The sequence below is a fragment of the Homo sapiens genome, chromosome 3, assembly GCF_000001405.40.
Source record: "Homo sapiens chromosome 3, GRCh38.p14 Primary Assembly".
Taxonomy (NCBI): Eukaryota; Metazoa; Chordata; class Mammalia; order Primates; family Hominidae; genus Homo; species Homo sapiens.
Genome location: NC_000003.12, coordinates 85,999,140 through 86,012,279, shown reverse-complemented (window position 1 = coordinate 86,012,279; position 13,140 = coordinate 85,999,140). Strand labels below are relative to the sequence as shown.

The following is a 13,140-nucleotide window of genomic DNA, read 5'->3' as shown; positions in this document are numbered from 1 at the left end:
GCATTGTACTGATTTACTAAAATAACTATACATACATAAATGCTTAAAAGAGAAGATGTTTCATATTGAGATACACCAATTACTTTAAAATAGAAAATATTTTGGCAGCTGTATATATTATTTTAATATGAGTTATAGTTATGTGGAAAGCATATGTATTTAACAGAATGCTGGTTGCTATGTCCCTTACGGAGTCACAAACTAAGGATAATAAATATTTCCATATGAGTATATTTATATAAGATAATATTTTATAACACATAAAATATTAAACACTAGAATGAATCTTCTTAATAGTATCCAATACTAAAATGTATCTTCTTAATTAATTACTTAATTGTATACTTGAATTCCTCTAAAGTTTATACAACATTATTATTTCTCTCTAAGGTTTTTTATATATTTTTTCTTACAATTAAATCACTTATATTCCCATTATGGTTTCTAAGCTATTACATTTTAAATTTATGTTCGTACGTTTCCACCTTACTGAATCTCTACCTATTTCTAGCATTTTTCTTTTTTTACATATTTCTCTTGGACAGTCTCATTTTCAATTATACCAACAAGAAAGAATGACAGATTCACCTCTTGTAAAATACAATTGGCATTGGCTGTCCCAATTGTGCAAGGACTTCTAAAATTTAGGACCCTGTTACTATTGCTCTTCCTTTTTCTGACTCTTCCTTCTCTTCTTCTCCATCTCTCTTTTCCTACTTCTCCTTTTTCTTATCGCCCCAATTCCACCAATTTTAATAGGTAGATTGCAAGGGTATTGCCACTAATTGTGGCAACGGCCTTTGGTATACATATTCTTATACAGGTTTTGTTTTGTTTCTTGAATGGAGTTTTCCAATTTTCAAATATCTACTTAATATCTATTAAGATGAACATAATTACAAGTCAATGAACTGATTAAAATGGTTAGTTATATAGATGGATTTCTTAATATTAAACAAATTTGAATTAGTGTGAATGAACTTACTTTTTAAAGATTAGTGATTCTTTTAGTATATGATTGTATATTATTTGCTAGTATTTCATTTAGGATTTTTGCATTAATATTGCAGTAAAATTGATTAATATTTCAGTAAAATTGATCTGCAATTTTCTTTCTCTGTGCTGTCTTTATAAGACTTTGCTACTGATGTGGCGACATTATACAAACTAATGGGAAGCTTTGCTTCTTCTCCATGCCTGGAATCAGTTTTAAAATGGATCAGTTTCTTTACATTTTGATACAACTAGTAGATATACGATAAAAGGTATATTTTCCACATTATCTGTAATTTTTCTGTTTTCTAATAAATACTTTTTATAACTTATATTTTTAGAGAAGTGTATTTATTTCATATAGATTTTCAGATATCTATGCCTAGAGTTATAAAATGCATTTTCTTTCTATTCTTTTAATTTCATCCTTATTGGCAATTAATTTCTTGATTATTTGTGCATATTAATAATTTATTTTTCTTTTCTTAGTTGGATTAACTAGTGATTCTAGAGCTATTGATTATTTTACTGACTTTATAAATTCTAAAGTCTGCTTTACAATTTGATTTCTAATTTTATCTTTATTATGTTCTATTTATTTTTAAATTTTTCATTATTTTTTCTTAATATTTGTTTCTTTCTTTCAATATTTATTTGCACCAGTGAAAATGTTTGACACATAAATTTTCTTTTAAATAAGGTTTTAAACAGAGCTTATATATTTGTTAGGTTAGCTGTTATTTCTAGGTATTTTTTAATTGAAGATTTTGTATATTTGTCTCAAGAGGTTATTCCTAAATATTCATTATATTGCCATTAAAATTTTTTCTTCTATTATCATTATAGGATTATTAAATTAGTGCCAGACAAAATAGTGTGCATAACTCTTTTACATTTTCTTTTACTGATTGTTATTTCTTTACTACTCAACAGAATATTGATTTAAAAACAAACAAACAAGTTTACTCCTACATGGGAAAAAACAGTTATATTTTTTATTTGAAGAGCAGAATTGTATGTACATCTATCAGATCTACTTTATTTTTGTTATTCTTCAGTTTACTCAGATGAATATTATTTGACCTGTCCAGGATTGTAATTCCCTATATGTTTTTCCAATATGTAATATTACATATGTGGTTTCAAATAACTATCTTTGTAATTCATACTGTCATCAATATGAAATATTATTTCGTCATTGCTATTTACTTTAAATTAAATGATTAGAAGATTAAATAGAGCAGAGTTAATGTCGGACTTTCCAGGTAGGCCTAGAAGGAACAGCAAATTTCACCAAGACAATCAACAAGTAAAAAAGGCGTCATTTAGGGTACTACCTAAACACAACATATCGAAAATTGTGTTGTGTTACCCCCAAAATAATCATATGACATAATGCATTTGTTATTAGATAGATATAGCCATTTCTCAATGTATATATACTTCAAAACATCATGTTGTATATACACAATTTTTAAATAAATTAAAATATATATTATTTGTCAATTAAAAAATAATTTTTAAAAGTTCAAGAATATACACATGAAATCCCATTAGAAACTAGTTACACAATCCTAATGTGACCATAAAAAAATAATAATTTTTAACAGCCCATGGGGGAGAAAGAAGCTTTTATGTTTTGAGAAAGAAGTATCAGTTTATGTCATTAGATAGTTACATTGTCAACTAGTTCATAAGATAAAAATGGCAAAGCATAGTAAAACCTACAAAATATGTTATATAACTATTGTTTCAAGTTTTAACAAAATACGATTTCATCGCTTCATTTAAAAGTATCCTATCTGAAGTAGAGGGTGCTGGCACTCCAAAAATAAGTGATCTTCTTCCTAAAATAATAGTAAAAAACAATGAAATAAATTTTCCAAAGCCTTCCAAACAGATTTTCCTCCCTTAAATTTCTGAAATAATTGAGGATCAGGTTCCAGAGAAACAAATATTTTTTACAATTCATGCAAATAGGTAATGTCATCATTGTAGGTACGTATATACCATTTTGCTTTTGATTGTTTAAATACTGGAAAGAATATATATATGTATATATATATATACACACACATACACATATATATTCATACATATATTCATATATATACCTATATATATACCTATATATATATATCTATATATATATCTATATACACATATATATATATTTATACACACACACACACACTATAACACCAAGTCTGGATTTATTAAACTTGTAAGTTTCAATCTCTTCAGCCTTCAGTATGCAGTCAATACTATTTAGTGTTTATTTTCAGCGAGAGCTACACTGCCAAATACCCTGCATCGTTATAATAATTTTATTTTCTCATAGAAAAAGAGAACATTTGGGGAAAAGAAAGAACATTTTACATCAAATGCATTGAGAAGATACTTGTTAATTTAACTTTTATAGATGATAATCCATATAATTGAAAACTGGAAAAAATCGTCAAAATTAATAGCATTTTAAAAGCATATTTCTCAATAATTTGAGAGAAGATAACCTTATTAATGAAATTATAAAAAATTCATCTGTGTCAAATACATAACCAAATAGTTTTTGAACTAGAAAAAAGCATTCAATAGTTCATTTTGCCTTTTAATTAGCACAGGTCAAGATTCCAAATTAAAATTTAGCCCTCTAAATCCTCTTTGGTGACTGGATTTTCTGCTATCCTTTGAAATTGTCATTTCAGTTTGCATAGATTACGTATTGCCTTCCTCTACATCATCTCAGCATTGAATTACGCATCAAAAATTTTTGGTGTTTTTATTTATGCAAATAAACAAAATAAAATGCACATAAAATGTTTTGATAAGAGTTCAAATTTCATTTTTTCAAATTACATAATTTAGAATGATTCTAAACTGACTTATATTTTTTCACACTTTTCAATCAGATGGTTATAATAGTCAATGTGCTATATAGATGACCTAAAGATTTGGTGTCCTATTTTTCTTTTGTTTGGTTATGTAACTGCTAAAGACAGCAGCCAGTGTATTTTATGCTACAGGTATGAAGGAATAAACAGGCTGCACGTGTCTTTCATTCCCAGTCTACAAAGTAAGATTTTCCTTGACTAGAAAAGATATTCAGTTTTACATTTTGCAATACTATCCTTTAGAATAACCCTCAACTTTGGAAAAAAAAATTGATTTTCACATGTCAAATTAGCTTACACTTGATATTTGAGAATGCTGTGGTTAGCTGGAATTTCATGACATCATGAATCTAGAACTCCCAAATTATGAACTGGTTAGCCATGTTAGGAAAATTTGCTTTCAAATTCTAAGCTATACTTAAAAAATTTTCCTCTTAGCTGTATTTTGATCTGTTTGAGATTAATTTGCAAATGTTCAATAAAACGAAGAACAAGACATTGCTCATCTGAAATTTAAGATAAAAATACCATCTTTATGGTTTGTTATAAAAATGCCATGGCCTTTCATTATTTTTTTCCACACTTACTGAACAGGACATTAAAACTGAAAGTCGTAGAGAAGCCAGAAACTCCATAGTAATGTAAACATTTCCTTGGTCTTGATAGTATTGCACTCTTTAGGGTGTGTAAGCTGGAGAGGTCCAATCACCAGCCACAGCACTTTAATATCTGCCAAATCCTCTTTTATTTGCCCTTTCAAGAAAGTCCTCATGTCTTTTAAATGGCATTTGCTTAGCAAAAGATTACTGTGAATTAGGCAAAAAGAGGTAAACCTAGTACCTCACAGGCTATTGCAATAGAACAACCTGGCAAGCTCCTCCATCCCCACGTGAAATTCTATATTTATTTATTTACCTTGGCTGCTGGAAAGTTCAGTTTATATGTTTCATGACAATCAGTGCACAGATTATTAGAATGTGCTAAAAGCAACCTATTAACATTTTCCCCAGTGTCATATTGTTTCTTCTTTCCTTCTTTTCTCTGTCCAAGTACATCTTCACTGGCTGCTGTTTTTTTAATCACCATTATTGTTATAATCATTTTTACTATATGTATTTTAATAAGCCTTATCAAATCTGCTTTGAATAGAGGCATACTTTACATAAACGTGATTAAATTGCTGAAATCTGGAATATAGTAAAGACCATCCTGTTCCTGGGCAGTTACCAGGACATAAGAATTTCGGGAGAATGGAGATTGTGGTAGAGAGATAATGGTGAGGGGGTGGGGGTGGGAGAAAAGTCAATAGTCAATAGGTTTGTTAATTAATTAATTAATTTTTATTTTTTATTTTTTGAGATGGAGTCTCACTCTGTCACCCAGGCTGGAGTGCAATGGCGTGATCTCGGCCCACTGCAACTTCCATCTCCGGGTTCAAGCAATTCTCTTGCCTCAGCCTCCCGAGTAGCTGGGATTACAGGTATCCGTCACCATGCCTAGCTAATTTTTGTATTTTAAGTAGAGATGGGGTTTCACCATGTTGGCCAGGCTTGTCTCGAACTCCTGACCTCAGGTGATCTGCCCACCTCAGCCTCCCAAAGTGCAGGAATTACAGGTGTGAGCCACCACGCCCAGCCAATATACTTAAATTAGTAAGACCCAGTGCTCTAGAAAGATGCCACAAAAGGAATTTGTGGAGCAGAATGGTCCTCAAAACACCCTACTCATGTCTCTAAGGAGGTCAAAGTAGTTCCCAGGCAAGGGTATCTGAAGCTCTAGGGAGTCCTCACTTGTTACATGTGGCAGCTTATTCCTAATAGAAAAAAGAAAATTCAGACTAAAGACAAGCCTGCCTTAGAGGTTTCAAAGTCTCATCTTCTTTTCATTTATTACCCTCTAGCACAGAGAGAAATCAAAGCCTTCAACAGGTTGAGTGCTGCTCCACACATTCAGCAGGTCACACACAGCTTATCTGTTGGTGGAGAAGGGATTGCCCATGTAATACCAAGACATATGTACTTCTAAACTCTCTCTGCCCAGATCCTGCCATCATGTTGACTATTCTGTCATCAAGGATGACACCTTTCTGTTAAAGCTCTAGACTACATTTCAAGAGAGGAACATCCCATATTAATTCCTTGAAAATGTGGTCATTTTCCAAAAAATACTGCTTATAAAAATTAGCAAAAATTGGGTAGTAAAATAATTCCTGGTCCTTTGTTTGTTGTAGCACTGTTTACAATAGCTAAGATTTGGAAGCAACCTCAATGTCCATCAACAGATGAATGGATTAAAAAATGTGGTACATATACACAATGGAGTACCATTCAGCCATAAAAACTAATGAGATCCAGTCATTTGCAACAACATGGATGGAACTGGAGATCATTATGTTCAGTGAAATAAGCCAGGCACGAAAGATAAACACTGCATGTTCTCACTTATTTGTTGAATCTAAAAATCAAAACAATTGAACTCATGGAGATAGAGAGTAGAAGGATGGCTACCAGAGGCTGGGAAGGGTCCTGTCGGGGGGTTGCGGGGGAGGTGAGGGTAGTTAATGGGTACAAAAAATTGTTAGAAAGAATAAGACCTACCATTTGACAGCACAAAGACCTACTATTTGACAGCACAATAGTGTGACTATAGTCAATAGTAACTGTACAGTTTAAAATAAAGTGTATAATTGAATAGTTTGTAACTTAAAAGATAAATGCTTGAGGGAATGGATACCCCATTCCCCATGATATGCTTATTTCACATTGCATGCCTGTATCAAAATATCTCATACACCACATAAATATATACACCTATTATATGCTCACTTTTTTTTTTTTTTTATATGAGACGGAGTCTCGCTGTTGTTGCTCAGGCTAAAGTGGAATGGTGTGATCTCGGCTCACGGCAATCTCTGCCTCCTGGGTTCCAGCAATTCTCCTGCCTCAGCCTCCTGAGTAGCTGAGATTACAGGCGCCTGTCACCACTCTCTGCTAACTTTTGTATTTTTAATAGGAATGGGGTTTCACCATTTTGGCCAGGCTGGTCTCAAACTCCTAACCTTAGTGATCCACCTGCCGAGGCCTCCCAAGATGTTGGGATTACAGGCATGAGCCACCACGCCCGGCCACAAAATTATTTAAAAAACAAAATAAATAAAATAATTCCTGGAGATTACATGATTTTTTACTGAACTTAACATTAGGTACTGAACTAAGCATTATTCATAATGTATTAAAAGCAGAGCCACAAGTAGAAAACCACTTATAACTGCCTCCAGAGTCTTATATCTACAAGTACAGCAGGTGCTCTTCTGAGTGTGGTGCTGGGAAAAGCAGTAACAATAAATGGAGCAAGACATGACTCTTGCTTTTTCTGGGAATTAACAAGAGAGAGGGAAAAGAACGTTCCAGCATGGTAAAGCATGTGGCCCAGATATGAGAGGGGCTTTAGGGAGAAACTGAAAGGCCTTCTGTAGATCAAGAGCCAGGAAAGCTGGTGTATATAGCATGGTCAGTAAAGGGCAATTCCTGTGTGGCACAGAATGCCCAGGTAGGAAGTTACCACTGAACTTCAGTCCAAAGGTGGTCACAAGACATTGATAGGTTTTGCTTGGATTTGCATTTTATGCATTCCACATGCTGCTATGGAGAGTAGGAGAGAAGAAATAAAAATGGAATCAGGAAGAAAAGTTAAGTGGCTTTGCAGAAATAGCCAGCAGCAGGGATAATTTTTCTTCTATATTTATTATCATTTTGCTAAGCATTGGACTAGATCCAACCTATGAATAGGACAAAATTAATGTAAAGACTAAAAGCCCGGGAAATGTTAAATATTTAATTCTTGATGAGGCGTAATATTCATCCTGTCATGCTATGTTCTGTGCACACAGGAATACAGCATGGTGTCAGAGTTTGGCGCCCTCACTGTGAGCTGAGGCACCCCACGGCATCACAGTAACCTCACAAAAATGACAGGATCTTTTAAAATTTTGACAAAGACATAGTGACATGTGTTGAACCTGACATGAGCTACTATCCTGTGATAGTTCAGGGTTTTAACATTAGATTGCACCAAATCCCTTCCAATGATGCCATTAATCTCAGATTTTAGTGTTTGCGGTGACTAAACACAAGTACCTCAAAGATAACAATGTGTAACTCTTATGCTATTGTAACTGGAATGTTATTTACTTTGGCATTAAAAAATAAAGGTATAAGGAAACTCTTCGTTTTTTGTTTTGTTTTGTTTTTAACAAGATCATTCTCCTCCATCAATCCCTCATGCAGCAACCACTATCTTCCTTTCTCAGTGGTAGAGTTATAAAAGAATATCAATACTCCTTATCTTTCTTAATAGAGCAAAGGATCCATGGTCTGCATGTGGCCCAGACTTTATTTGGAGCCATTGGCTCCAAGTACCTATGAAAGTATATTTAACCTTTAAAAAAGTCCTATTGTGATATTACGAATTCCTTTTTAAAATCTGGTAATTTGGCAACACTGGGTCCGCAATTTTTTCTACATAGTAATAATCAGCAGAAAATGCTTTGGGCCACCCCCTTCTGAAGTAATCTTTGCTCTCCACTTTGGCACAGTTTCCACTCACTTACCTGATCCCAGGAGTCATTTGAGTTTGCCTCTAACTTAGTGTGACAAAGACTTTAATGTAGGGATGAATTCTTAAAGGTATGAAGTTTTACTGTGACTATTGTCTATGCCATGGATCTGTATCTGTGAGTGATGCAGACAGTGGATATATTTCTCAGTTATGAATACTGGTAATACTAATAGATAAGTTTTTTGAGATTATTCCATATATAATAGGCATTATTCTAAACACTTTACATTTATTAATTACGCTCACAGCAATATTATTGTAGTCACAGCAATTCTATGAGGTAGGTTTTCTTAATTTTTATTTATAGACGTGTCAAGAACTTTGAATAGTCAGATTTTACCCTGCTTGCAAGTTAAGCTGATCTTCCACAGTTTCATAGATGCTGGCAGAAGACATGGGGTTATTGGATTAGAGAAAAAAGGATTTATTACTCTATTGCAACTAGCAGGAGCATCAGTTTGAATTGGTTCCCCTTATGGCCCAAGTCCCATGGGGAAAATGGGGAATGGGCCAGGTGGTTGCAGGTACACGTAGTCAGTTTTCTTCACAGCTTAAGAACCCTGGGAGTTAGAAATCCTAGTATTTATAATGGACAGCAAGAAAACGTGGCACTCATTTGCCATTTTCTCTAGAGTAAAGCATCATCTTTATTAAACTGAGCAGTCAACCTGGTCTCTGTTAAGGAGGAGGATACTATCTCTGTTTTCTATAGTTGTTCACTAAACATGAACAACCTCCTCCCTCCTTGAAGAGGAAGGGGAATTTCCTTTCCACAATGGGTTAAGATGGAGAGGAGTGATAAACAGAAAATAATACATAGCATTGCTTTAAGCCTATTGTTTTCAAATAACTTTTCAGTTTTCTCACACTGAATAATTTTACAAAGTGATAAATTCCATCACAAATCCTAACTAGAGGACCAGTTATAGGTTATAGATAGGGGTCAGAACGAGGTATCCATAAAATTTCATGGACACCTGAACTCTGTGATAAAATTAAAAACCACTGAAACACAATTTAAAATTATACCTTTTATGAACCGATTTTGAACCAATAGTTTTCAAAACTTTCTGTTCCAAAGAGCTATAAATATCATAGATTCTATGAGTCAAACTTAGACCTATGTATCAGAATCTCTAGAGGTAGCATAAATATTAAACTTAGGGAATTTAATTTTAGAAAGTTTCCCAGGTAAGCCTGATGTGCAGACTTGAAGAGAAACTAAAAATTACACAGTTCTGAAGGATAATCTCTAAGTTGGTGAATGAGGCCTTTCACAACTGGACTTGAATCCAGGTGACTTTTATATCACCCTAGGGTGGCACAATAGAATTGTGATTGTAATTAAGAAAGAATAAAATTGGACATCTGTCTACTCAGGGAATATACTATATTAACATATATGGCACTGTCAAAATGGCATAAATGAAAGGGGAACTCAAAAGAATAATAACCTTGCATGTTAATTCAGAACTGTAACAAAGAGCAACATCGATCCCGTGGATTCAAAGGATTCCTCATTTGCACTGTACAAGATCTGGAAGGGTATAGACAGCTCACCAGGCAAATGCAGGCTTGATAAAATACACCCTATCTATTTATATATCTTCTTACTTTGAATCTGTGTTCCTATAATTAGTGATTAATAATCCCAGCTACTTTGACATCATGAAGGAAGTGCCCTGGATTGAATCAGTAACCTAAGCTCCATCAGTATTTTATATTCATCCTCTCCTTGGTGGCTCATGCTGTCATCCACTCATCTGTTCCCATCCACTGGTGAATCTTCCAATTTTCTTGACCAATTTTGCTATCAGGTTCATAATTTTATCCTCCATACCAAGTCCCATAATGACCCTGGGAAATTCCAGTATCCAAATGAAAGAGACATCTATACATCTATAATTATACAGCAATGACTTCCAAATTCATAGCTCCAGATTTGTATATTTTTCTCTTTAATATTAAATTTTAGCTATGATTTGATCATTTAAAAACCTTTCTTAATTTCACAGCAATTTGGCTAACCACTCATCTGGCCACTTTCTGGATCACCTAGTTTCCTACTGCAGAATTTTTAATTCTAGTATTCCTTTATCTGGCAACAAATTCTTGGTTTACTGTGCACTTATTTCCTTTCATGTTCTGCTCATCTTTTTAAATTAATCTGTGTTTGGCCAGCCCATCATCCCCCTTTACAGATGAAAGACCATCACTCTCTAGAAGCCTTGGTTTCTTCCTTTCATTGTACTTGCCTAATCATAATCCTATATCTTCTCAATCAAAGCACTCATATCCATTTAAAATATGGACTACTGGGAACTGTAAAAATAATTTAAACATTGTAAATTTGCACTGCTACAAGTTCGTGGTTTCTAACCTCAGTTAAGGACTATGTTATCTGCTCTTTGTATATTCTTCTGGCATGAACCCAAGCTTGCCTTGGATCAATTATATGTACTACTATTTGATCTGAGTTCCAGATCTGTATATCCAACTCTTCACTCAATATTAAATTTTCACTTGGAGATATCAAATACCCAACGAACTCAACATGTTCAAAACAAATTCATAATTCTGTCACCAGTGTTTCCTATCTCACTGAATGGCAACACCCACCATTAAGTTTGGTTGGCTGGAAGCTTGTGATATCTTCTCATTCTTTCATCCATATAGTCAAACAATCACAAAAACTGTGAATTTTGCATGCTAATATTAATCATTGTACCTTTCTGTCTATAATTCTGACATTGTAGTCTAAACCCTTATCAGCATTCACTAGAATTATTTCAGTAGCTCCCTAAACTTTCTCCCACCATCCCCTCTGGTATATTTCTTACACATTTGCTCCCCTGCAGCCAGAATTCTATGTTTCTATTTTATTAAAAAACCAATTAGGACCTCTCCTCTCTCTCTTTCCCTCTTCCTTAATCACTCCTAGGATAAAAACTCAAATTCTTAAAATAAATTATTTAAAGTTCTGCAGGTTCTAATTCAACTACCACATATTTTCATATCATTTTTGTGACAATCGGCATTCTACCCTTATTGGTGCTCTTTCAGGGTTTTTGAGCAGGCTAAGCTTTTTTTTTTTCTTTCTGTTCCACTCAGGAACTTTGCATTTGCTATTTCCTATCCGTGAAAGACTCCTTCCTCTTCCCCATCTCTCCACTCCCCAACTTCACATCTTACTCAAGTCCCTCATATCTAGCAAATATCACTTCCCTAGGAGAGTCCTTTATGATGACCTTGTACAGCAAATCAGAGAACTCTATATATTTTAAAGATTACTTATCTTCTCACCTTCCTATAAAAACATTGACTATATCCATCTTGCTCTTTATTCTTTCCCCAGAGTTTACAATAATACCTGATAGAAATAGATAATAATTATTCAAGGAATGAATGAGAAAATCTTTTTCAGGAAACATGGTAAGTTCCTACTAAGCCCTCTTTTTCATTTGCACAGCCATTATTTAGAAACTTCACCACTTTTTTAAAGGTACCCTCCATGCTAATTTTCTATCCTTTTTAGAAAACAATCCCCTCTTAATTTATAGAGAAAATACAGGTCATCAAGTAAAAGCTCTGTTAATTTCCCACTTTCCCTGAAAGTACTTCCCCCTTTTCTGGCAAACTGGTGTCTAAACTTATCTTCTCTCCTCAGACTCATTAAACACAGAATGATGCCATGTGTTCAAGGCTAATGTATGAATTTTAAAAAAGGAATTCCATGACATCTTGAACCCTTAGTGGCTTTATTTTGTCAGCTTCTCTTTTTTAAACAATATATTCAACATCTCTTTTTTCTCCCTAGCATTCTCACAGCATTTAAAAATGCTTAATTTATGCCATCCTTTGAAAGTGTTAACTGAATTTACGTTGTCCTCTATCTGTTTTATATCTCTCATTTTCTTCTCAGACAACATTCTTAAAATAATAGAATGCAGTGACTTTCTCTATATTTTATGTCCCATCGACTTTTAAAGTCCTGCAGTCTGACTTTTATCTAATCACTTCATTAAAACTGATTTTTCTAAATTCATCACCACTCCCTGTATAAAAATTAAATAAGTTTCTTTCATTCTTTCTTTTCTTTCTTTTTCTTTCTTTCTTTCTTTTTTCTTTCCTTTCTTTCTTTCTTTCTCCTTCTTTCTTTCTCTTTCTCTCTTTCCCTCCCTCCCTCTCCCTCCCTCCCTTCCTTCCTTCCTGCCTTCCTGCCTTCCTTCTTTCTTTCCTTCCTTCCTTCCTTCTTTCTTTTTCTTTTCTTTTTTTTGACAGAGTCTAGCTTGGTCACTCAGGCTGGAGTGCAGTGGCACTATCTGGGCTCACTGCAAGCTTCACCTCCCGGGTTCAAGTGATTCTCGTGTCTTGGCCTCCCAAGTAGCTGGGGCTACAGGTGCACACCATCATGCCTGAAAATTTTGGGTAGTTTTAGTAGAGATGGGGGTTTCACCATGTTGACCAGGATGGTCTCGAACTCCTGAACTCAAGTGATCCACCCCCCAACCCTCGGCCTCCCAAAGTGATGGGATTACAGGTGTGAGCCACCACGCCTGGCAAAATTAAATAAGTACTTTTCAGGTTATCACACTTGGCCTCTCTGAAACATTTGGTGCTATGAGTCTTGCTGTAATTG

At 34.1% G+C, this 13,140-nt stretch overlaps 1 protein-coding gene across 16 annotated transcripts in view; it reads right to left on the bottom strand.

The window, feature by feature from the left end:
* Window positions 1-13,140, bottom strand: part of CADM2 (cell adhesion molecule 2) — a 1,115,441-nt gene that overhangs the window by 62,150 nt on the left and 1,040,151 nt on the right. The window lies entirely within an intron of this gene.